Here is a 27,624-nt window from a genome sequence, read left to right on the forward strand (position 1 = left end):
TCTCTATAACTTTTCAACCTCCACCATGTGATGCCCTGAAACACAGACTATAAAGTTTCTAGGGGACAGTTCTTTTTTTTTTTTTTTTTTGAGGTGATGTCTCGCCCTGTCACCTGGGCTGGAGTGCAATGGTGCAGTCTCTGCTCACTGCAACCTCCACCTCCCGAGTTCAAACGATTCTCCTGCCTCAGCCTCCCAAGTAGCTGTGATTACAGGCACCCATCACCCATCACCCATCACCATGCCCAGCTAATTTTTGTATTTTTAGTAGAGACAGGGTTTCACCGTGTTGGCCAGGCTGGTCTCAAACTCCCGACCTCGTGATCTGCCAGCCTCAGCCTCCCAAAGTGCCGGGATTACAGGCGTGAGCCACCGTGCCCAGCCTTCTAGGGGATGGTTCTAAGGAATCTAGCAGTCAGTTGCACTTGGTGTTGGCCAACTGAATAAGACTTCCTTGGCTTCCTCTCCCTCCTTCCCCAGTTCACTGCCCTATGGTCTTCATTTCTAATCCCAGGGATCACAAATAAGAATGGCATATAAGACACATAAGTCCTTTGCCTCAGACATTGATTTCTGGGAGAATCCAAATTAAGCAGATGGTGTTAGGGACATATCACTCATCTTCTTATCCTTACCTATCAATCACAGTGCCTGGCACAAATGAGGTGCCCAGTAAACATATACTGACCTGAAACAGAGAAGAAAGTTGAATAGAGGAAGGAGCGTCTCAATACACCACACAATACATGATGAGAGAATGTTTTGGTGAGAGAATAGCCAAAAGATTGTGACTTAGTCCCATCTATTAGTCATGAGACAATGAGCAAACCAGCAATCTCTTGAATATTCAATTTCTTTACCTTATAAAATGAGATTCCAAATTATATCTGAATCTCTTGAGACTCAAATGAGACTATACATATGGCACTGTTCTAAAAATTATAAACCAAAGTGTTGGGTTATTGCTTTGGTATCATAGACTTATATGACAGCTTTTTTTCTTCCATTCAGACTATGAGGGTAGTTCCATATATTAGCAGTTAACACATTTCAGAAAGAATTTCTAATAGCTATGTGAGAATAGGATAACCATAATTAAGAATTGTGAGTGATCATCTGAGATAAACATTTTTATTTATGTTATATATATTATATAAATTATGATATATTACATAATATATAATACATTAATGTTATATATTACATAATATATAATACATTAATGTTATATATTACATAATATATAATACATTAATGTTATATATTACATAATATATAATACATTAATGTTATATATTACATAATATATAAAATATAAATATATATTTTATTTATGTGTTTATATTTATACATATAAATATATATTATTTTATATATATATATTTTAGAAAGAAGAAATGCCTAACAAAACAATTTCAGGATATGCAAATTTGTTTCTCTTTTTTCTTCTTCTTCTGAAAATTATAATCTTAAAATGTTAGGTAAGAAGGAGTCCTCCACTAGATTAGGCCCTTAAATGACTAGGACTGAATCTCTGCAATCGTATCAGCTAGCAAGGTGCTTCCCTTTGTTCATACTTCCTATATGTCTGCCGAGCAAGTAAATAAATAGGTTGAGTAATTATTTTTTGATTCTTCACTTTCAAGGCCATTCCGTTAAGTACCCATGGTAAAAGGTGGAAAGAGTTTGAGTCAGAAGTGTGCAGAAAAGCAGCCAGTGATGGTACCAACCTCGATTTACTGTTTCCAAGAGTTTGGGACCCATGTTCCTACTACCATTAGAGAGGATTCTAAGTGCTAGAGAGCCCTGACATTAAATAACTTTGAATTCCATATGAAGAATGTATTTCCTCTCAAAGGTCTTTCAGGCTTTAGAAAATCTCAGGTGGTGCTTAAATGTCCTCACCAAACTCCTCTCTCCGTCTCTCTCTTTCTCTTTTTACCAAAGAGAAAGGCTAGGGGTCAGAGCATCTGAAAAGCAAAACTGCCTAGCTAGAATTTACTAAGATTGGTTTATTTTCATTATGTTTATTTTTATAGTTATCTCAGGGCAAGTGCAGTGACCTGTCCCTTTATAATAGTAACACATTTTCTTTATTAAAAATATTACGTTTAAGTTATTTTTTGAAAACATGAGCCATTTCAAAAAGGAAAAATATAAGCAAATCATACAGGGATTATACAAATTTTTAAAATAAAACTGTGAAATTCTAGGACTGAAGTTTGAGAATTATTATCTAGGCTTCTGCAAAAGCACATGAGATCTCTTATTCTCTGGCCTAGAAGATTAGTGAATGTAGTCTTTCTTGTTTTGTATGGGTACTTAAAATTTTAATACTGTATAACAGTAATAGAAGAAAAGCCTAGTTTTTAAGCATTCACTCATAAAGTTATATTTTCTCCTCAAATCAGTCCTACAGGGCTTTCAGCTAGAGCTGCCTCTTCATGGGGTATTACTATTAAAAAGAAAAACTACTGATCAATGCTCATTAGAAAAAATTCAGAATAGAAATTCAGCTAGCATTCTAGGCTTAATTGAAGGAGAACCTCAGTGATATCTTTTACACATAATATTGTATTTATAATACATGCACCTAAATTCATATGCTTTGTTCTTTCTGCACAGTATGTTTAGTTGCACTCGAAGGGTTTATATATGGAGGCCTGGAGAGGCTAATACGAAGTAATCTTCAAGAGAAAGTTTTGCAAACTGCAAAGCTGATTACAGAAAAATGTGTCAGAGATAGGAGCTTAATTCAAATATATTTTCCAGACCACTAGTGAAATAGCTATGTGCAAGACTCACATATAAAATAAAAATTTATGTTCTAAACCATGTATACTTTTGTATCACCTTATCTCCTTTTTTTTTTCCTCTGTGGCTTGAAATCTATATTAACTACTTATTTGTCATGTGCTTCTATCTGCTCATTTAAATTTGCCAGATGCCTTTAAATAAACCAGAATACATGGAAATAAAGGTTTCACATAGCAAATAATTGTACAAGCAGATTCTTAAAAAGTGCAGAATTTCTCTGGACCAATTTTTTATCGATAAATCCTTTAGACAAATCTATGAATGAAGCAGTTTGGTCCATGTTAACTAACCTCACTCAGAGAGGGCAAGATTGAAGGATAGGCTGATTATTTGGAAAACCAAAGTGTACCATTGAAGTACTTATCTAAGAGTTGAGACAAAATAAAATAACAGAAAAACTGCTGTTACTTAGAACCAGGTGGAGGTGGTATGGGAATGAGATTCGGGTCCAATTATTGTGATCAATTGTTCATATTGATCCACCACTTTTCAGGTACAGATATAATCACAAGCTATCAAAGAAACTGTGAGTAAGAAAGGAGATAGAAATGTACATTGAAACAAGATTGACTTGGATAATATTACAAATGGTTTCCACAATTCCCTTTACTATAAATATTGTGAGATTACCATTCTGTGTTAAATGATTCTACTTGATACCCCATAAGGCCTTTATTTGAAATTACGGAATTGTGCTATGGAGGGAACCTAGAAAGTAGTTCTTTTGTTAAGCTAAATCACATTTATACCAACCTGTAGAGTCAGAATAAGGACTAAGGACTGCCATGAGCCCATGGATCACCCTTGTGCAAAGTGGAAAAGACACTTCGTCTTTTGGGCTTATGCAGCTCCTGGTTGGCAAGTGAAGTGCAGGCTGAACTTCAGTTCCCATTTTGTCCTTCCCTTAGCCAGTAACCCGCACTGCTGTACAGAGCAGCTCTGAACAGGATCAAGGATTCCTGAAGCACCACCAAGAATATGTCTTTGTATCTTTGTATAGTTTTTCTTAATAACCCATGTTTAACAACCAATAATGTCAGAAAGTCTTTTTAATAGTTAACCAACTACCTTGAAAAACTAAGTCACTTACCCCTATGTACTAATAACCCTTCTAATACTTTTACAAGTTAACTACTGTTGGTCTCATTTGTGAAGAAGAGATGCCCTGTTATAACAATGATCACTAAAATTTTCCTCAAGGAAAGCATTGATTCAGGACTTGCAATGATTTCATCATTGACCCAGTGGCCCTGAGAGCACAAAGTCTCAGATAAGAGTAGAGCTTATGTGGCAATTCAATTTCTATTAGGTGGAATTATGCTATAAATCCAAAAGACAATAATGGTTAGATCCGTTGAATTAACATCTGTGACAATAAATACAATAAAAATACCTTTTAATGCAATTTGCTCCACCAGCTCAGAATCCAAATGTGATTGATTTCAAACTTGAAATCTGATTTTAAAAATGTTTTGGGGATTAAATCCCATAGTTCCTTGAAAACAAAATGGGGAAAGTTACATTTAAAATACTTTAAGCTGGTTTAGATGTCATCAGATATATAATGGGTATAATTTTCTTTGCTCCAAGTCATTAGGAGTCTCAAAAACTTTTTTCCTTAAACAAGGGGAAAAAGCCAGAATCAGGAAAGGAGGTGACCTTTAATTTAAGAAGGCTAGAATTATCATATCATGTGGTATATTAAACTTGCAAAAAATGCAATGTCTTCATCTGGCTTGCTTTGGGGAACCTAGTAATCTATAAATACGACATTATTTGTATAAAATATATTAAAACAAAAAATGTAAGCTGAATTGTTATTAAATTTGTGCAAATGCAGTCACTAAATTATAACAGTAAAGCATTATTATGCAAATTGGAGCTAATTTTACAATATCCCTATCTAATTGTTTACAGTACAGTAGAATTATGGCACTGTTAAGCAGGACAGGATGTTGTGTGAAAGAAAATGTTTTTAATTTGAACAGTTTTTACTTCCTGTGATTTTTTTAGTTATAGTAAGCATGGAAAAGGGATTTAGCATCGAGAAAACGAGGGCAGATGTCTCCTGCATTGTGTACTCAAGGACTCAGCTAATTAATAGCTTCCATGTGCTTCAGACACAGAGATGAAGATGGGCACTCTTTGGAGATACACAAAGCTTCCTCTTTTCGGTCTTTATGAGATGTCACAAATAGAAAGATGCGCTCTTTCTACAAAGATGCGCTCCAAGGAATATTTTTAAGAGATTTGTTTTGAGATGAAGGGCTGCTTGAGTGTGAGGCTTCCTAAGCGGTCCTGAGCCTGCAGCTGTGTTCTTTAGCAGAGGGGTTAGGGAAGGCAGCTCACAACAGGACTGTACAGAATTATGTTTGAAATGGTACTTACAGAAAGGTTTGGGGAAGAAGACAAGACCACTCTCCATCCAGTGGAGAAGTCACATTGAATAAACAGTTTTAGCAAGAGGTCAATGAAGGCTGCTTCAAAAGAAAGGCCCTTCATCTTCTTAGATAAGCAAAATCAGTCTCTGGGATTCATTTAAGGAGGGCATTGCACTTCCTGTTCCCCTTACAATCCTTATTTGATCCTTCCTATTACTCAGCAATTTCATATAAGCTAAACTGTCAGCATATGAGAAACCTCCCTGCCAGTGAGATGACTTCTTTTTTTCTAGAAAGCCTTGCCAAGTTTATGAGCCAAGAAATAGCTGAGTTATAATGGCTGAAACCTCAAAGAGAAAGAAGAGTGAAAGGTATTAAAATATTTTTGGAAAAATCCCTGACTCTTAAAACCAGCAGGGGCTGATCAATGTAAGAATAACATAGTAAAATTTAAGGATGTGACAGGGAGGGGCTGAATATCTGGTGATAAGAAGGTGCCCCCACGTGGAGCCTTCTTGCCTAGTCATTCTCCATTGCTGGGGGGAAAATATGACTATAAAATTCAAGGAAGACACATGTCAGATGAACAGGACCTCATTGCTTTCCTCTTGGCTTAGCACAGGTTGCCCCTACCAAGGTGAAACACTTTTTTTTTTTTCCAGTCGCTTTGGAATCTTCTGAAAATCTCAGTGTAAAGTCTCTTTATCACTCCACCATATATATTAAAATAAGCTGATATTTAATTATCTTTTTAGTTGTTTATGGGATGCGCCCTCCATGCCCGCTCTGAAACCCTTTCTTCACTCTGAAGTCTTCTACTTTTGCACTTTTTTTTGCAAAACCTGCTCTGCAGAAATGACCTTAAACTCGATATGTTATTTCTCCCAGGGGATTCTGCACTTCGTCGAAGATCAAAGCTTAAGACCAACAGGACCCATTGCTTTTTAAATATAGACAGCGGTGAGTATTTTACTCCAGGTATCCATTAGGAATTTGTGTTTGTTAGTAACAGAGACTTGACATAAGAATGACTTAAATAAGTGGGTTTCTCGCACATTAACGGAAATCTAGTGATAAGCAATCCAGGGTTTTAGGATCTCTATGGTCATCAGGGATACAAGCTCCTTCCATTTTTCTGCCTCTTTATCCTTAAAGCACAACTTTCATCCTCAAGTTTGCGCCCTGGTCTAACATGAGTGCTGTCATCATGTCCACATCCAGGTAGGAAAGAAAGTGCGTGTGAAAAGGTCCTAGCTGACTGTTACCCTTTTATGGTATTTCCTCAGCTCTCTAAACAATTTTTGCTTACATCTTATTGACCATAACTTCTGGCTTAGGAATTATCTCTGCCCTAGATAAATTCAAGGATTTTGATTTTTTTATTTTTCTTTTGAGACGGATTCTGGTTCTGTCACCCAGCCTGGAGTGCAGTGACATGATCTCAGCTCACTACAACCTCCGCCTCCTGGGCTCAAGCGATTCTCCTGCCTCAGCCTCCCGAGTAGCTGGGATTACAGACGTGAACCACCACGCCTGGCTAATTTTTGTATTTTTAGTAGAGACAGGGTTTCACCATGTTGGCCATGGTGAAACCATGGTCTCAAACTCCTGACCTCAGGTGATCCGCCCACCTTGGCCTCCCAAAGTGTTGTTATTAAAGGCGTGAGCCACCGTCCCCAGCCAGGGATTTTGATATTATTTTAAAAAGTTGAGAATGTTTATCGTCTAGGTAACTAAGCATTGTGTTTATTTTTCCCTCATAAACTCAACCAAGTGTTGATGACTAGGGGTTCCTGCTTCACCTCCTAAAATGCAATCTTCCTCACAGTTACCTACTTACGTTGGTTATGTCCAAGCCCTGTCCTCTTTGTTAGCCTATTTTATCACTTTTTAAGAAGATAAATATATGGTCATTTCAAAGGCCTGAATTGTAAATAATATATGGAAAGAAACACATGGTCCTATAATCAATAATGTCATTCATTCTTTATTCTCAGCTATACTGAGAATGACCAATTAATCATGTGTATTATTACTCATTAGTCTTTTGTGATGAGGCAACCCTTAATTTTTCATTGTAATGGGATACTAGATTATTAGGAATGACAACAAACAGAGGAAGCTGGTGAGATGCTCAAATTAAACACCAATTTTCAGAGTTTTAAAAAATCCCCACTTAAATTGTCAGTTGAGTTTTTCACATGTGAAAGTAAATGAAGAAAACAAGTACTTTTCCAAACCATCTCAAATTCTTTGCTTGTAGACAAACTCACCCACAGAAGAACATTATAGTTCACATAAGTGAAAAACACAGAAGGAATTCTTCTCATTGTTTAAAGGAAGTTGTCAAGAAAAACATTGTAATATTTGAGTGTGTTAGCATGAATTATATAGCATTTGGGGATAAACAATTGAGGTAATATCTTTTTAAGTTTGTTATTTTGCCTTTCCCTGCTTACCCTAATAGAGTGGGTTAATGATGTCAACTCTGAAGAAAGCCAGAGTTAAGGCTGCCTGAAAGCACATGGCTAATGCAACCTGTAAGAGCGAGGGGGAGGGGATTTTGAGTCCACAAAATGCATCACTAACAATCACGAAACTTGCCAATTGGTTACATAATACTGAAACTTCTTCCTCTTGTTCTGTAACCTTTCCAGAGTTCAGCTCACGACTGTTGCTCAACCCAGTTTGAGTTACCAGGGCCTTTTGGTAAAGTCTGGATTTGTATCCACACCCAGCTGACTTCAAGTCCTTGCCCTATTGCTTAGGTGGCAGGAGGCTTTAGGCGAAGGATCCACACTTTCTGCAGCTCAGTTTCTTCACCTTTAAAGTGTTGTTACAAAGACGTGCGACATCTTATATGTTTCACATAAGGAACACACCTACCACATCATAGTGGCTCAGAAATTGGTTAAGTGATGGGAGAGAAGGGGAGAACTATATGCCAACTGGAGACTTTGAGACAATGTTCTTGGTCCTTTATTGTTGCCTGGTGGGATGGGATGGTTCACCAAACATGTGCCATGATAGTAATTTGCTGGACATACTGTGCATGAATCTTCAACATGAATTAGCAATTTTGAAAGAATATAATTATAATAAAATATATTCAACACCACAACTGTAAAGAACATCATTTTGGCCAGGTGTGGTGGCTCACGCCTGTAATCCCAACCCTTTGAAAGGCAGAAGCGAGCAGATCACTTCAGGTCAGCAGTTTGAGACCAGCCTGGCATATGGAGAAATTGGCTTACTAAAAATACAAAAATTAGCTGGGTGTGGTGGTGAGTGCCTGTAATCACAGCTACATGGGAGGCTGAGACAGGGGAATTGCTTGAACTTGGGAGGCAGTGGTTGCAGTGACCTGAGATGGCACCACTGTACTTCAGTCTGGATGACAGAGCAAGACTCCATCTCAAAAAAAAAAAAAAAAAAAAGGCACTTTTTTTTTCTTTTGTTCGTTCATAAAGTATTTTACTATCTTGTACAACCTTGTGGTCAATGTAATTGTAGGAGGTTTTCATTGCACTACCAAAAAATTTAGTTTAACAGAGGGTTCTGTTAATAGGATACCCAGAACAGAAGTTTGCTGTATTCAACACCGTCTACCTTCACACGCCTTGCAAGTATTGTTAACCAGCTTTATGACCAAGAGGTTTCCATAAGGCCATAATTACTTTGTCACACAACATATAAAATGCACATCTCGAGCTGATGAAAATAAGAAGTTTGATCCACTCCATAGCAAGCATTTCTAATTGCTAAATTTTTCACACATTTTTTATTACTTGGTGTATTACAGATGTGAGAAATGTCACCATCTCTGGTTCTATTAGGAGTGACATAAAGTGATGAATGCTGACTCTGTGTGTGTACATTTTAACCAGACACAAAGGGATTTAAACAGTCAAAATAGATGTCCTTCAAAGGAGTAATTTTAGAAACCAGTATCGATTCTAGAAATACTGAATTTATTTCAAATATCACTGGACTTCCCCTCTGAAACGTTTAAAACCCATGCAAGGAAATCGTATTGATCTTTTACAAATTACATCTCATTTTTGCATAAAAACAGTGCTACCCAAATAGCTCACACTTTATACTGATCAGTTTTGCTTTCATGGACTTTTGGCTACTTCTCAAAATTAAATGCACCTTCACAGCACAAAAATTTATCATCATTGGACATTGAAAAGATTCTGAAAGCAGTTACAAAAGGGGAATGTTTTTAAAAAGTTGTAAACAAAGGTAACAACATTGAGAATATGTGTATGGCCTCCCAGAGGACTGTTCTAAAGCAGTACTCTCGTTTGGGGGATACGTCGGATGGATTTCTTTTTATGAAGAGGTCATCTCAAGTATACCATCTGTTGAGCCTTCCTTATTTGTTAGACAAAAACATTTTCATCATTTCATCATTTCCTCCATTTTAGGAAGTATGACAAGCATTAGAGACTAGGATAGAGTCTTGAGAACTTGAGAAAGCTACACATTTGTATCTCAAGTTAAGAAAAAATAAAGATAAGAAACAGAAAACAGGAAAAGACAAGCACCAAAAGCAAAGTAGGCCAAAGGACTTCCTATGTTCAAATATTTCCTAGGTATTGTTTCAAATGTTCTTGTTGGTGACAATTATTATTGGGCATTTACCCTGAGCCAATCACTGTGCTTGTTACTTGATATGGTCTATCTCATATAATCCTTCTAATGAGAGCATCTAAGGCAAACGTTCTTACCAGTCCTTTATGGATGAAGAGGTGGAGGAATTTTTATGTAAATAGATGGCCTAGACAGGATTTAAACTCAATGTTTCTCTGATTCCAAAGCCAGTGCTCTCTCAAACCATACCAAGAAGCTAACAGAAACCAGCACTTCATGTAATTTTTAAGAAGACAGCAAGTTCAGATACAACTCAGACACTTCCACAGGGGATTTGGACAATCTGTTTGTCACTCTGAGCCTGTGTTATATGATTTCTGCTGATTCCATCAGGTGCCTTTTTTTCTTTTTTTTTCTTTTTTTTTTTTTTTTTTTTTTTTTTTTGGTAAGCCTTGGCCCATCTCTTAAGAGCTCAAAGAATATGCCTGGGAGCAAAGGAACCACCAGCTCAGTTAGGTTGAAACCAGTTAGCCATTGTAGTACTACTTAGTGCTGTCTTGGTTAATTGATTAACTTCCCCTTTAAAATGTGTGTGTATTTTCTACATAGGTTTTTGGTTCACATTTGTTTTTCCCAGGACCTTAATACTTTCTATGCTATGATGGTCACCATTAGAAAGTAATTGCATGCCTGATGATGGAAATAATCAACAAAGATGACCACTGATGTGTCTCTACATGTCATGATTGCCTTAGGGTTTCAATTCCTGTATTTTTTTCCCCTCTCATCCCATGCATCCCTTCCCATGCTTCCTTTGTGAATTAAGATAAAAGGAACAAGAAACCAGGAAGTCTTCCTTCCACCTGACTTCTGACTACACATAACCACACAAACAGCCTATTTTGATCAGTTTCCTCCAGTCTCCATCATAGGTGTTTGATCTATAGTTTAGATACCAAGTCCTCGATAGTAGAACTCATGTATAGCTAAGCGCTACACATAGCTCTTGATGCAATGCAAGGACTTCCAACTGACCAAGTGTAACCATGACACACTGGTCAGAAGCAAGTCAGACTCAGGTTCCAGCTCCTAGTCCTAACATTGTGATGATGTGGCTATTACTGGACATGTGCATAAACATATTGTTGGAGGTGCTGGGAATATTGGAATTAGAATGTACCTACATGACCTCAGCTTTGGGTGGTATTAAAGCTTTTTGCTTTTTGTGATAAACAATAGGAGGCTGCTTATTTCCTCTAAGAGACTTTTTTGAGGTTTTTCTGACAGTAAGGTGGCACGGGCAGGGAACTTCCTTCCAAAGCCACTTCTCAGCCTCTGTTCTATGAGTTTTCTTCCTCTTCATTCCTGTCTTCTGCCTCCGTTCCTTCTGGCTGTCCCTCCTCTAGCTCTGCTTCTAATTGCCTGAGGAGGCACTGCAGGGTCTATCCTGTGGGAATCCAGTTTGCAATGACTCTTTTGGTCTATGAAACACCTATTATCGGTTCCTCAGATTTGAATACCTAGACAGATGTATGTGCTCCCTTAAGGGACAAGTACTGTGGCATGCGGAGTGTGGTACACCAAGCCTAATCTTCTGTTCTGTGGATGTTGGTGCTCAGTTGCTAGTCTTGGTTGACTGGACAATTCCCACGTAGCTTTTGCTTAATGTCTGAATCATTGGAAGGAGAAGGACTTTGGTCTGTCTTTCTCCTTTTGTAACTTCCTCTTTTTGCACTTTATGTGAGATTACGAGTGAGTGTGATTTCAGATGAGAAACACTTAACAGTGAGTCAGGGAGATGAAATTTCACTGAGATGCGGAACACAGGAAGAGAAAATGTGTGAAAAATCACGTTGACGGGGTTGTCTTGGTAGCTAGTAAAGCAGAGAAAGGAAATTCCCGCACAGCAGGCTTTAATAAAATTGGCAGGCAGGAATGTCACACTGTGTGAGAATATTGGTGAGGAATCTAGGGATGGAGAGCAAGTAAAGGAATCATAAGGGCCTTCTTATATTGGACATTCTTTCTCTGCACCTAATTTACTCTAAACGAGTTTGCAGATGAGAATTGTTTTCCCATGAATTTGCATCAGTAGATTTAAGAGCATGGATGCGCACACCCCAACACAAGGTGTCAACCAAATATTAGGCAATGTTATGGCTTATTAACGATTTTCAATCCAAGGATAGTTAATGAAGAGTGGACATTTATGTCTGTGTATAAAAAGCAGTATATGGAAACTCAAATTCCCAGTGGAAATAAAACAAGACATCGTCATTATTTAACAAAAGAATTCACCGTGTAATTCTATATAAGACAAACGCACTCACACATTCTTTAAGGACTTTAAAAATATCCTTTGATTTCCATGCAACTTTTCTGGACTTTTTATATCTACCACATAAAGCAAGCCTGTTACCGAGATAAATGTGGAAGTTCTATGTCCTTATTGCCTGGGTCACTTTACCAATGATCCACCACTTACTTATTCGTTTTATTAAATATATTCTGTCTTAAATCTATTGATGCAAATTCATGGGAAAACACTTCTTATCTGGAAACTCATTTAGAGTAAATTCGGTGCAGAGAAAGCATGCCCAGCATCAGAAGGCCCTTATGATCCCTTTACTTACTCTCCATCGCTAGATTCCTCACCAATATTCTCACACAGTCCGATATCCCTGCCTGCCAATTTCATTAAAACCTGCTGTGCAGGAAACCTACCAGTGTGTAAGATTCTTGAGAATAGACCATTGTCTGTTTTGTTCATGTACGTATCACAAATGTTTAGAACACTTGTGGCACATAGTAGGTGCTTCATAAATATTTACTGAATAAATGAATGAATGATCTTGGGAGGTCAGGGAATGTTCGCCTCACTTGATGAGTAAACCACCCAAGCCAAAGGCGGCAGCTAACCCAGAACTCCTCCACTTAACCCCCTTTATGTCAATGGCTCTCTTTGGAGTCACTGCCAGGTTTTGTGTGTAAGGAGGCATAATGCTCCCAGGGCAGGCTGCTGGGGACCAAGCCCTGGGACACACAGAGCATCCTGAAATGCCAGAGACCGGCAGAGTCACACTGGGAATTACTTGTCTTCAATACATAAAATATTGGTGGGGATGGCAACTTTAACATTTGCCTTTTAGAAAATTCTGTTGAAGGCCCTCCCCAAGTTGAAGTTGGTGGCCTGGGAGATAGTCATCAGCTTCCAGAGAGAGGACCCAGCAACTTTTTCCTCCACCAAGTGTTTTTTAATTAGTAGTTGGCTCAGAAAAGGCAAAGCAGCTACTTCTGCTGGAGATCCAAGGCTGAAATAAATACTGCTGTTAGAAGTGGAAGGTCACTTTACAATGGTGTTGTCTATCACTCTGAGCTTCCTGCACCTCCAGGGGAGGCCATGAGCTTAGGCACAAAGTGTGGATAAACGCCTATTTTAGCTGATGATATAGATTAAGAGAGTGGAAGAAAAGAGCCTACACCCTGTGCCCCCTTTTGCACTTAGTTGTGGTGGAGAGGACGGGGAGGTGGTCAGCTCCTGCTGTTCTCAGTGGGCGCCCTCCGAGAGCAGTCCTTGTATTACCCACTTCACTGTTTTGTCCCCATCTCATTATCTGTTCTTGTTAAAATCTTTATTATTCATGGATGCAAAAAATCCCATCATTAAACCATCATAAATATTCATAACACTTTGCAATTGTGTGCATTTCATTTAGCCACTTGGCAAAACTTCTCTGAAGTACCAGAGTTTTAAGGAAATCTGGCTAATGAGACCAGAGCCCAGGAAATGCAGGATAGCCTTTCCACTTTATTTTACTTTAACCTGAAAACAAATGCAAAATATAAATAATAATTAAAAGAGAAAAACAGGGAAGGCATTTAGTGGCAAAGAAGAGCCACACATTCCTTGGCTTTGTCTTGATTGTGCTTTTGTGTCAAGCAGAAGATAAGGGTAAACACTGTGCTACAAGAGGGGGAGTCCTGAGGCTGCAATGCTAATGGATTTATCCAGGAGCCTACAAAGGCCAGATAAACCCCCTGCTTTGGTTAACAGGGTCCTCACTTCTTATGTTCTGTATAATTACTGGCATCAGGTTGGAGTTGAGATAAGCATGGCCCTTTTCTTGGACTTATTATAGCAGGCAGCCATGCCGTTTTTCGTGTCTAAGAAAGAATTATATCCATCTCTTTCTCTTCTTCTAATCCAGTTTATCTAAACTGTGCACTCTCCCATCAGTGCTGAGAGCTTTTTCTCGGAGTGAAAGAGAACCCAGCAAACTTCTGCGGCAACCAAGTGGAATTGGAATAATGTGCCTTCCCACTGCCACCCCCTCCCATCCAGGGTGCACAGATTTAAACCACCGAGACATCTTTTGTTTTGCACCACAAATTATTGCATTGAAACATTTTTTTCCTGCCTTAAAGATTATCCATATTGAAAAGGAATTTTTAAACGATATGAACTTGTGGAAGAAAATATTTATACCAATAGGAGTTGTTGCCCCTGGCCTGCACTCGTTTAGGACTCCTCCCCGCCATTACTGACAGCATTTATGCTTGATAATGAGTTGCCTTCCCTGCGTAACGGCTAACAGGTGCTGGAAAATACTGGTAACATTCAAGACTACTCAGCAAGTTCTGATTTCCCTGAGGGTTTATGCCAAGTAGAAACAAGTTACCACCAATCCAAGCATTAGACTGGCTGATGTGTACATCACTTCGTTAGGAAATGTCACATGTTAATGGGGAAGCGCGCTAGGTTCCCAAGCAGAGGACTAATTAAGGAAAGTTTTCCTTGGTCTGCTCCTGTGGACTTAGGACTTAGAAAGGTCCTTTTTTTTATTTTTCCACTATTGATCCTTGAGCTCATTTGTGGCAGTGTTTGGCATTCATCTTACCATTTGTTAGCCCTTCTCATTGATTCTCTAATCGGAATCTTACTTTTTTGTAACTCCTCCCTGTGCCAACTGAAATGAGGTATCAGTGGGGACATTTATTTTATTTTGTACCCGATCTCATCAAATTAAAAAAAGTCTGAATCTTCAAGAAAATCAAGGGAACCATTTTATATAATTATTTTGTCAATTTAGATGTGACCTTTGAAATATGGCAAAAGTCTTCAGTACGGTAATACATTGAAATTCAAAATCAGATTCTGAAATTCTAGTAGCATTAATTACTCCCTCTGTGCTTTCATCACACTTTCTTCCCAGCCCTCTTATCCTATATTTGTTTAATAGACTATTTTGCTTGCAAAGAACTGTGATTCACACAGGATGCCTCAAATAATGAGGGCTTATTTTAAGGACGCCTATGCTAATAATGGAGTCAGAATATTATGAAACTCTCAAAATAGAAGTCAAATAATGACCAGGCATTACAGTGACCAGAACTAGGAGGTTGTTCTGGGCTTAAGGAAGCAGCTCTATGGAACTGCACAATCAAAGTTAGGGCTTTGCTAGAAGAAATGACACTAGGTACATTCTGCATATCTGCTCTCTTTTGTTTATCTCCCTTTCTTCTGATTTATTCTATTTCTATTACCTTTCAAGCAGGATATACTAATTGTTCTGGGTAATTATTATATAACAAGTAATGGCAGAAATATTTCTTTCCTTGCCAGAATATATATAGGACATTGACTAGCCTGAGGATTGGCTGCTTCTGGGTCAGGTGCCCACTCCCTGTCCAATCAGTTATCAGTGTGATGACTTGGCATATTACATGGCAGCCCAGTAAATAAATGCCTTCTTTCTTTCCTCAGAAGGGACTATGGCCTCACAAGCTTCCTCACTGATGTGTGCAGCCCCATAATGACTGGGAGCTTTACCCGGGTGCAGCTAGTCTCCTTTTAAAAATATCCATAGTTCTGAGCACAAGTTCTGGCATATAGTAGATGCTCCATAAATTGTGACTAAATGAATAAGCAAATCTTTATATTCTTCTTTCCTGGGGCTAGTTTTGGGTGAAGTGAAGTAACTTGCAGTTTGCGTATGATTTGATATCACTTACTTGTCAACAGCAGGAAATTGCAGAAGGTTCTGGATTCTAAGACATGATGTATTTCACTTTTCCTCTGCCCTTTTCAGAAAAAAATTTTTCCTTGATCTATGAGAATCAAGCCATTGTAGTAAAGTCAGCAAGTCAATGTGATATGACATGAAGGCCAAACCTTATTTTAAGATGAGAAACTTGCTATAACTCCAGTCATTCTCTCTCATACCCTGGAGTCACTCTTCCTAAGAAACTAGAATAAAACTCTGCTAGCTACTACAGAAACAAGCAGTTCTGATGACTATAAATTTGTATTCTGGTTTCAAGAGGGGGAGTCAGAGTTTATTTCTTTAGAGAGAAGTCTGGAGAGCCTCCCTCCAAATGAGAACTTCCTCTAAACCGTGAACTCCTCAAGGTCATGGACAGACATCAGGGATGATGGGGTCTATGGGAAGTCATAGGTCAGCATTGCCTCCCCGCCCCCCCGCCACAGGAATTGCAGGCACACTGTGTCACTATGCTTCAGTTCCTTACATAAATTTCCCAGTGGGATTGTCCCCAAATGAAAACTGCACCGAGACTCTGTGACCACAGTGAGCAATGTAGACACGCAGCACCAAGAACAGATTTGTGCTGGACAAGGGCCTATCCCTCCCTGGACCGGCTCCCATTACACAGTCATCATTTTCACTTGTTCCTGCCTGTCCATCCACAAACTTGATCAGGGCAGAGGATGGGTTTAGAAGCAGGGGAAATATTGTAGTGATTACAAAATTAATCTTCCTTTTTGCAAATCTCCCACTAAAAAAAAAAAAAATCTCAATTCCTTTGGTGTAGGTTCTTTCCATATTTCTGGAAAGAAGAACTTTCTTGTGTTTGGGTGGCTGCTTCTGGAAGATTGTGTATACCTGTTGTATACAATAATGAGGGGTCCTGATGACAATTACGTTTGCTTCCTTCTATGTTATCTTTTTGGCTTCTCAGAGCATCCTGGAGAGTTTTGGTCAATATCTGTGGAACCCACTTTTTCTCTCTCCTCTCAATGGAGTTGTGAAAGTGTGGATCAGAGCACTAGGGTGTGTTTTTGTCTGCTGTGAACAGCTTAGCAAAGGAACTTGGCATCCTCAACAGACAGAGTAGGTAATAAGTCTTGTGGGCAGAATCAATGATAAAAGGAAGGGGGAAAAAGCAGGACTAAGAGATGAGGACAGCCAAACTGATTTCAGCTAAAACTGATTCAGCTTGCTAATGAATCCACCAGCTAGTACTGAATTCTTGATACTCTCCTCACTTCTCAAATCAAGTTAAAAAAATTGATTCCATGCCACTTACAAGAGGCAGAGCTGTCACTTACTAGGGAGATTAACTTGCTTTGTTGAATACTGACAGGGACCAGAGAAGGGCAGGACCCACAGAGAATGCAGGGCACTCTAATTTGTGATAACCTCAAAACCTGAACTAGTAGTAAATTGAGGGTTTGTAATTTGTGCTAACATCCAGTCCAGACTAAGGTAAGCCTAGAGAGTGAATTTAAGGAAGCCCTAAACCTACAGGATTTTGTGTCATCTTTGTGAATCCAAGTGCCCAGACTGGTCAGAGCTTTAAAGGTGCAGATCCTAGTCCTCTTTTTTTTTTTAAATTTTTTTCTTTTTACTGATACATACTAATAACAATAATTGTACATGTTTATGGGAGTAGATCCTAGTTTTCCTGCTCAGAGTCTGCACACTCTCACATTTAGCCAGCTACACCCATTAAGAAAGTTTGGGGGTCAAATATTGGAACAATGATGACTGCCCTGCCTCTGAATATTGGAGAACCCTGTAGGTGCGGAAGTCAGCTGAGTCAAGGAGAAAACACCAAGGATCCAAAATGCCAAGTGATGCTCCCTGCCAGAGTAGATGGTTTTCTGTTTCCTGCTGGGGCTCTGGGAAATTCTCAGTGTGGTCAGATATGTGAATACCATAGTACCTGGCTGGCCATCCCCCGTGTGATTTCTTTTAACCACCACACTTTTGCCCTATGGCTTCAGGTGTTAACAGACTGGTGTTTAAATGTGCCTAAAGTGACTCTCTAGTGTCCTTTCAAATACAACACTGCTTAGTACAGACAATGCCAAGAGAAAAAGGCTGTGGATTTATCAAATTAGAGAAAATGTTAAAAAGTATGTGACGTATGTATGTGAGGCAGGGGAAACTGCTTTTAAAAAGTAACAATATGGCTGGGCGCGGTGGCTCATGCCTGTAATCCCAGCACTTTGGGAGGCCGAGGTGGGTGGATCATCCGAGGTCAGGAGTTCGAGACCAGCCTGGCCAACATTGTGAAACCCCGACTCTACTAAAAATACAAAAAATTAGCTGAGTGTGGTGGCAGGTGCCTGTAATCCCAGCTACTGGGGAGGCTGAGGCAGAAGAATTGCTTGAACCCAGGAGATGGAGGTTTCAGTGAGCTGACGGTGCCACTGCACTCCAGCTTTGGCAACAGAGTGAGACTCCCTCTCAAAAAAAAAAGTAACAATACAAATTATTATTATTTTCAATTCTTCCTAATTTTTACAGATTAAGTTTGGCTATGCACAGGAGGAAGACACCTTAAGAAATTATGGAAGACCATTACACTTGAAAAGTTCACTTTTATGATAAAGCTGCAAGACTCACAAGAAACATTTGGAAGTTGCCTAGTGCCCCTCTCCCAATTACATTGCATTTGAGACTTCCTAAAGGGATAATACGTCATTTGTTTTTCCTTCAGCTGGAGCTCTTAAGTTCTTAGGAAGGAACAGTAACAAACCGGGGGCCTCTGTCCAAATCCTGGATCAACTTGACTCTCGTTCTTTCCCTGGCTACCTGAGTTAAGCAGCTTTCTTTTCCCTGTTTCTCCAGGAAAAAATGATGACAATCCTCCTTTCCAGTTAATTCTTCCCAAGATTGTTGGAAAGAGCCATTAGTTTATGTTTTATTCTTTATGCCTGTAAGATCTTGGGATGAAATACTCTTGATAAACCACAAAGCCTATTACTATTTTAAGTACCTGCATCTTCCAAGAGAAGGAACATGCTGGCTCCCTGCAGGAGAAACAAATGGAGTCAGCTTTCTGGCTGGCACACTGTCTTTAAGAAAAAAATAAAAAAGACACAGATCGTCTTGTTCCGTCTACTGAAGAAAATGTGTTCAGATTTAGTAAAGCCGAACACACATTTCAGAGGAGTTACTTGTTCCATACTCTCTGCTACACAAATCATGGTGGGGGGCGGGGGTTGTTTTGTTTCAGTTTGGTTATTTTTTGGTCCAAAAGAACAAGTTCTGAACACAAAATGGAGAGGATACCAGGGTGGTGATAAAATGTGCCTTTTAGGATGTATGTGGGAAGAAACATGTTCTTTCTCTTATTTTAGTATCTTGTTTCATGGTTGTGAAGGAAAGAAAATGACTTTGGCTACCTGCATTTCAAATCGTACGTGCGGTCTGAGGGAGCACCTGGCACTTGCAAGAAAACAGCATGCAAAAATATTTTGTTCTATTTTCCCATTGTAATCTCTCTTCCAGATTTTTTTTGTCCCTCCCTTTGTTTTCTTGTCAAGATTGACAAGCATCCATGTGTTACCAAGTGACATAAAGTTCTTGCTTGAATAATCATGACTAAAATCCAGGGTATTTTAAAGCGCATTATTGACTTGGAGAGCCACCCACTAGATTGAATTCTTCTGAATTAACAAAGACTGACAGCCTCAGCAAGGTACGTTTACCCTAAACGGTCAGGGCCTCCCAGGTTCCTACCGTAGCCCTGGTGCTGGCCTCTTCTTCCCAGGGCTGTTATGATGAGGGTTATGGAGCTAGAAAGGCTTTTCTCATTAACATTACAGAAAACTACATGTTTAGGAATTAAACTCTGGATCAAAAAAGCAGATGACAAGAAGAGGAACTGAAACTTCTTTTTATTTAAAGTGGGTAGCACTGCCTTGTTGACCTGCCATCAGCGTGAACACCAACTAATGCCGTTCTGGGATGAGATGGCAGAACTCATGGGATACTTAGAGAGAAAGAGGGGGGCATTTTTAATAAAAAGTAGTGAAATCATGTTTTACTCTCAGCATGTACTGAGGCTCTTGGGAAGGGAGTGTGACAATCTCTGAAGAAAATTGTTGAAAGGGTCATTATGTTGGAATATGCTGAACATGAGGCCTTTACTCCTTTTTCTTTCTCCAGTGCTAGGAGTGGCTACAGAAACTCTGTATAAAAGGGCTTAGAAACTGCATTCTGTTTGGAAAGGAGGAGGTGGGAAGGGAACTTACCTGGAAGCAGTATTTCTCAGCAAGCCCACTGTTTTTAATTAGGTACTATTTGTTTAAAGAGTGGCTTGGCTAATCACCTCCTCCCTCAAACCAAATGAACCCTTGGTGAAGCCCTTGACTAATTCCTTGGGCAATGCAATTTCCTTTAAAAAAAAAAATCTTATGCATTTATCATCTGTATAAAACAAAGACACGCAATTGATACAAATGTACTGCTCACAGGGTCCAGCAGTTACAACTCCATTTTAAAAATAGGCCTTCATATGTATTTAACCACTGAATGACTTGATTAATATAGCAGAATGTATCAAAATAAAAACTGATGGAGAATATTGGCCAGATTATTTCTAATGATTTTCAGAAATACTTGTTTTCCAAAGGGAATGTGCAAAAATTATAATGCTTTTCATAGCATTTTTTGCCAATGCTTTCCTGAAGGATAGTTATCAGCAGAATACAAAACTAATCTTTGCAAACAATCTCTAAGAAATTGTTTTGCAAACAATCTCTAAGAAATTGTTTTGCAAACAATTCTCAAGAAACTGTTAGAATGGTCAGTGAGCAATTCATCAGGATTATATTGAACTTTTAAAATGACACCTAGATTATAGACATTCCTATAAGACATTCAGGTACATACATGTGTGTTTTAGTCACCACATGCATGGACATCTAGATTCCAACATTTTCCCTGTGATTCTTTTTATACAACACCTTAGATTACTTGAGCATTCCAAATGCTTTGTTACCAGATTAGGTGTGTTGGTGCAGCACTGCTCATTGTCCCATCTCTGGTCCAGTCAGCTTTCCATTAGCGTGTGCAACAGTTTGCACGTTCTGGATTTTATACCATTTCCCTCATCTGTGTGTGGGTGTGTCCAGCCTTCCCACTCAATGAGGTTCTAGACATCTCACAATTAGGTGTAGATACAGTCTCAGTTTCAGGAGCAGCTACCTGACTATTCCATAAAGCAGAATCTGAAATTGTCATCTACTCCTCACTTCCCCTACTTCCTTAGGGGAAGAAATGCGTGATTTCTCTGGACCAGCACACCCATAATTTGCCTCAGTGACATTCAGATGGTGTTATGGGTTTTCACATTTTTACAGTAGCCTCTGTGGCTAATATGAAAATTTACACCATGCATTTCTCCACTCTCTTAAAGCCTACAATGCTTTTAACTCAAGTGTTCTATTTTCTAAGAAGTCCCTAACCCCATCTTGACTATTTTTAAAAGTAATTTCCTTTAACTCAATCTTACTAATCTATAACCCCAAACTTTTTCCCATTCACGTTTTAAAAAAGTATTTATCTCTCCTATTATTTATGTATAATATAAATGCTTGGATTTTATTTCTTCTCTATAAATCACTATTATGTCATGCTTACACGTAATGTCTGCCTTATGTTGTAAGCTTTGAAAGTACAGACTGTAAACATTAACTTTATTTTGCACAGCACTGAGCACAATGTCATGATCACTTAAATGCTGTTGATGATGATGGTGAAGATGACAATGATAACGTAATGCTGTTCTGGTTTGAAAATGTCATGTAAGGAGTCTAGTACATATTTTTTAATGTAAGTTGTTTCTCATCCTATAAAGCTGTCATTCTTCATTAACAAAAAAAGGTTACAGTAAGTTATAATTAGTGTTTAGTGCCCTGTCAAATAATTAAGTATAATAAAAAGCTTTCAATGAGCTTAATGTTAACATGGGGTAATTAAAGCCAAGTCTTGAAATGCATTAGGTGTCTATTATGTCAGATATTTGATGTTTTTTTCTTCTACAGATGAAATTGTCAAATTGTGCTTATAGCAATGTCATCATCAAAGACAAAAACACACTCACATCACATAGATGTAAAATGGGCTTTGACGTGCCCCAAAAGGGTAGAATTTAGAAAATGGAACAATCTCTCATACAGCCCTGTTATTTACAGATAAGGAAACTGAGTCCCAAAGATATCGTGTGACTTGCCTAAGGTCACACAGTAGTAAGTTAATTCTTCCTTGATTGTGAGAATTGAGGCTTTGGGCAGTACTGAAGAGATTATGATTATCATTACTGTTATTCTTTTCTTCTTCCAGTATATTTGCTGGGAAAATGCTTATTTGGTCTTTTTCTTGATGGGGTGAAAAAACTATGTCTAAAGTAAAAGAATACAATTTGTATTTGGCTCCTGTTGTATTTAACAGTCGTTTTAGGATGCAGGGCTTGTCATAGTGCCTATTTTAAGGCTCAAATACAGAGACTAGGCTGAAATCTCACTATTCTCTCATCAGAATAACTGGAATGCGCCCAGATACTTGGCCATTTCTAACTCTGCATTCTTTGAGCTTCCCAGGCCTTCTCTTGTGCATGTTGTATTATCTTTTCTGTCCACAAAGATTTTGAAAAATCAGCAGAGTACAAGTAGCCCCTGAAATAAAGGCATCATTCAAGGAACAAACAAGTAGAAGGAGGGATCCAATTAAAATGATGAAAATCTTTAATTTTTATTTAGTTATACTTGTACGGACACGTGTATATACAAATACAGATCGTATGGGTTTGTTTGTGTGTGGGTTTTTTTTTTTTACATTTTCTTTTACGTTTATATAATGTCAGCATTTCAAAACAGCACTCGATGAGTAAGTGCAAAGGAACTGCAAAGCAGGGCAGTACAAGCACAGGACCACACGGAGCTGGACTTCACACCCAGACGCACACACAATGAGTGGCTTCAATGGGGTGTCAAGAGTAAGCATGGAGAGCGGATTTTGACTCATGGGTAACCTCCGACATGCCAGCATCTATTAAACTGTACAGACAATGGGAGCAAGCCCATTGTAGGGAGATTTGTCTCACATCCTAGCAGCCCTGGGGCCAATGCATGGGAAAAACTCAGTGATGCCAAACCAGAGACAGACCTGCCCATTCACAGCTCTGAGGGGAAATAAAACGTGGGAGGAAGGCAAGAGACACACAAAAAATAAACATACTAAGTAAAAGGGGGGTGGTGTAGGCAAACGGGGGTGTTGGTGGAGGCGGTTTTCAAAAGAAAAGTCAGTGACCACAACTCTGAGAGCAATGAATGGAAAGGAGGAGTTGAAAACTGTTTTTCTAATTATTTGAAAATAATACAAATGGCTGCTGCCGTTGCTAAGGCACCGGAGAAAAACAGAGTCCCTGAAAATCCACAGGTACTGTGTGACTCTTCCTTTCACAACGACACAGAGAGGGAAACAGCCCCATTTAAGCTTCCTACACTGATTGGTTTGCAACCATTTCCATGAGTGAGCTGCACATGATATTGATAAAGACTCTTCCTGGGAAAAAATAAAACAGTCCATGAAAACAATCACAAACAGAAAACCAAACCAAACCAAAGTACAGAACTGTTTCTAAATTCCCTATCCTTTTCAAACCAACATGCTGGTGGAGAAGGGAGGGTGGGCCACAGGGCTCCAACATCAGACCTTGAAAACACCGAGGACAAAATATCGATCAAAAAAGTCATGTTGTTCCAGGTCCCAAGATGATGGAGTCATAAGATTGGGTGGGCAATGACCACACATGAGTCCTGTATGGAGCAGTGTCTCAGCCACTTGTGACTCTTTTTTTCAGCCATGGTACACATTGGATGTTTCAAAGCCTCAATGCATGTTTTGTATCCTGAAAGTCTATTGTTCTCACTTACAAAAGACATAAGAATCAAATTAATACTTTATTATCAAACACTATGTACAACAGAGGTTGCTAATAATACAGAATTTAAAGAACGCAGTTTTTTTTTTTTTTTTAATGTTTTACTTTTCTTTCCTCTGCCACCCAAGAAAGTACAGTACAAAACAATAGTCTAAACTAACACGAACTGTTACCTGGTCTATTAAAGGATACACGGTATCCACTAAACAGACAGATCCTTATTTCCCTGCTTGATGTTGCAAAGCCCTTGGCAACCAGGGGCAAAGGTCACTGGGGTTTGACTAACTGGGGCTGAGTGGCAGCTATGACTGTCCTTCAGATTTTTGAGTTGTTTTTGAAATTAAAAGCTTCTAAAAGTTGCATCAACATCCTCCTAAGCCCCCAGAGGATTGTAACACCACCACAAAAGGCCACCAACACTTTTTAAACAAAGTGAAAACTGTCTGACACCAATCATCTTGAAAACTCCATGGCAAGTGCATTAGCTATGATTTCATCACTTACAGGTAGAGAAGCTTACTGTCTACTGGTGTGGACACTCTTGCTATTTTCTTTATACTTAATTTGCAGTGGCAGAATGGTGAAGTAAAGGGGTCTAATTTCACTGTGAAAAAATGAAAGACAATGGCAGAGAGGGCCATGAGTAATTATTTCACCATTTGTTAGAGACAAATGCTAGGAAAACCACAGAAGTCACCATTTCTAAAATGCATTTAGCACTGCTAACATAGTTATGACTAACTGGAATCATGACAGGATCATTTGATTTCCTTGTGGTTATAGAACATGCTGTATTATTTTGGTTCTATTGATCCATTTTAGAAGGTATCTTTCTCCCCCTACCCAAATCCCACTGGACCAACAAGCCTGTAACTATTAATTAAAAAAAAAAAAGTATTTCTGCATATGACTGAGAGTACTGCATATATAAATAGCTAAAGGAAAAAGGAATTGAATGCCGTGAACTTTTGTTTTGGTGAAATGGTGGCTGCCTTCTGTGATAAGACTCTGCCACTCCAGAGGAGTTCCTTATGTCAGAGGGGAATAGGATTGATTGTATCTGTGAGGCTGGCAACCCCACACACATGGTTCCATGTGAGAACAGACTCGGCAGTGACATCCACTCCAAATGGATCAGGTAAGCCCAGATTACATTTCAACATGTGTACAACTCTCCAGGGCACAATACGTTTACAGCTGCCTTTCCTTCACATACTTTTCTAATTCAGAACTACTCACAATTCTAAGCAAATTCCCATTCACGAAGTCTGTCCATAATGCGACCTTCTCTTTTTTTAACATATACATCTTAAAAAACAAATATATAAAAAATTCTTATTTTGCTGGAATGCTTTCAATTTTTCACATTTTACATGATCATCACATTTATTTCTTATATTGAAAGGCATGGTTTCTGTTGACATGTCGTGCAAAGCCAAAAAAAAAAAAAAAAAAAGGGCTGGATTGCTTTTCAATTGGTCTAACACTTTTCCTTGTCTAGGCTTTGGATTTTAAAGTTCATGACAGCCCCACCACCAGTAGAAACCCCAAGGCTTGCATTTCCTGGTAATCGACTGGAAACGTCCCCTGTTGGCCATGCTAAGATTCCTTCAACAGGGTCATCCTGCATTTATTCTCCTTCTGCCCCACCCCCACAATGAAACAAGATAGCCCCCATATTTCTAAATGTATCAAGGGATACCACTTTTTCTCACAAGTTTAAATAGGACAAGCATATATACTCACTCTCAGCATAAAGTATATCTAAATAATGTATTTTCTATTCTAGTGGATTTTTAAAAAAATATTTTGTTAAAGTCTTTGGGACTCCATCTTGTTTATCTCCCACAGATAAACACATGTTCCCCCTACGCTTTAGGCTGTGTCAGAAAGGGAAAGAATATAAAATCAACACTTGAATTTTTTTACTCCAAACTTTGGAATTTTATTTCCAAATTTCCCTTTAGCCCTCCCAAGTAGTGCTGACTGACTCTCCTGGTGACAGGGGTTTGTGTCCGAGCCCCTGCGGTCAAGGAGTGTGGAGCAAAACGTGGGTACTAGGGTGGGAGGCGGGGAAAGGCCACAGCACACTGGCGCTCCAGCAAAGCCAAATCATGTCTCCTCTGGCCACTGCGGTCCTCTCCTTGGTACATGTCATCCCCCAGAGGAGTATCCAAAGCTATTCCACTATGCACTCATCAACCCTGGCTTGTCAGCCTTGGGGAAGGTCACTTTATTCATAAAAATGCCTCTTTGAGTTTCTTAAAAAAAAAAAAAAAAAAAAAAAAAAAAAAAAAAAAAGTTGTAGCACCATGGTGATCTGTATTCAAAGAAAAAATATCTGGTGTGCACTGCCCAGTCACCAAAAAAATTAGAGGCACTCACACATACACACCCCCAGCAAACCTGTAGTTTTCTCTGTTTTCACACCTGCTCTGTATTAGCATTCCACACCCAACCTGCCTCCTAGAAAAAAAAAAAAGGCTTCTTTTAGAGAGCACAAGTTTTGCTGTCAAGAATGCTTTAAGACAGTCATATTAAAAAAAAAAACCAGTGTCTCAACCTTTTAGAAGCCTGTTCATTTACATACTCCTATAGGAAATGGTGTAATATCGTATCTATTCTTAATACCTCCCCTCCGGACCTGACATGGTGACATGATGCCCTGCGCGATCATCTTACAGTTCTGAATGAGAAGGCATAAATATTGCATAGGAGAGCAAAACCCTCCCAGCCCTAGCCAGCGCTGGCTGCATCTGCCACTATTCTTCCTTGTCCATAGCCCGCTGACACAGTGCGCTAACGGAGGTGAGTTCTTAGAGGAGAATGCACAGGAGCTGACGAACCACTGGTGTCACTATGACAATTTGGCATTTTCATCTGGAGTCCATTTAATTTGGGAGGGGTGAGAGAAGCCAAGGGCCAGGGCTGGGGGTGGGGCGGGGTGGGGTGAGGGAGGCAGGAACAAGTTTAGGCCCCCAACCTGAAGTTGTTGCTTAGAATTCAGGCTGAAAGAAAGAAAACAAAAATCTGACATCTGCCAAAACCCAATAACAAGTCCCTTCTTAGGATGAGCAGTTAGGTGGATCTCTGGTGTTCCAAGACCCTGATGTTTTCTGTGACAAGTGATGGGAGGAGACTGTGCTATAATGTCAAAAGCATCGCCAGGAGGAACAGTAGGATTGCCAAAAGGCGGCTGGGTATCCTTGGTGTTTGTGCCGCGTTCTCGCCGCGGGATGGCTCGGCTGACTCATGTACGGTGTCATCTGTTCAAATAGAAAGCACACATTCCAATGAGATTTCACATCCTTAATAACTCTCTTGCAGCAGCCTGCTGTTAACAGACCTCGCCACCCTCTGCAAAGTAGGGTAATGAACCTTGTGCCACCATTGACTTTCATGTCTGCATAATCACTCATTATTTACAGCAAACAAAGAAGAGGCAAAGAAAATTGGACTTTCTCAGCAATATTAATACTTTCCTTAAAAATTGAGGGGAAAAATTATGCATACACCGTAACCTTTGGCCTGTGAGCTGCTTTGGTTAGCCAGCAGTCAGACACGCCTTGCACAAATTTCAGATATCTGAATGTACCTTTGAAACCTAAGATGTCACAGGCAAGCAAGTGACATGTTGGTGGGGGTGGGGGAAGGGGCAGTTATGTTGGCACAGTAGTGGTTAACCAGAATGCGCTGCCCATTTCCCTTCTTTTAGCTGTTTCATAGGATTAGTGTTGAATGCCTGGTTGTTGGATGCCTAGACGAATTTTCAAACATGAAAAACTAAATGCCAAAACAGCAGCATTTTGGATAAACTATACATCATGCCTAGTAAACTTCAATAAACGTA

At 39.2% G+C, this 27,624-nt stretch overlaps 1 protein-coding gene across 3 annotated transcripts in view; it reads right to left on the reverse strand.

The window, feature by feature from the left end:
* Positions 1 to 22,557: 22,557 nt before the first annotated feature.
* EFNA5 (ephrin A5) overlaps positions 22,558 to 27,624 on the reverse strand; it is a 294,044-nt gene continuing 288,977 nt past the window's right edge. For all 3 annotated transcript variants that reach the window (NM_001410773.1, NM_001962.3, XM_011543250.4), the window contains one exon: positions 22,558 to 27,040. In NM_001410773.1, the coding sequence (NP_001397702.1) occupies positions 26,919 to 27,040 (122 nt within the window). In that variant the 3' untranslated portion in view covers positions 22,558 to 26,918. The remainder of the gene's footprint in view (positions 27,041 to 27,624) is intronic.

Source organism: Homo sapiens, chromosome 5 (genome assembly GCF_000001405.40).
Source record: "Homo sapiens chromosome 5, GRCh38.p14 Primary Assembly".
NCBI lineage: Eukaryota > Metazoa > Chordata > Mammalia > Primates > Hominidae > Homo > Homo sapiens.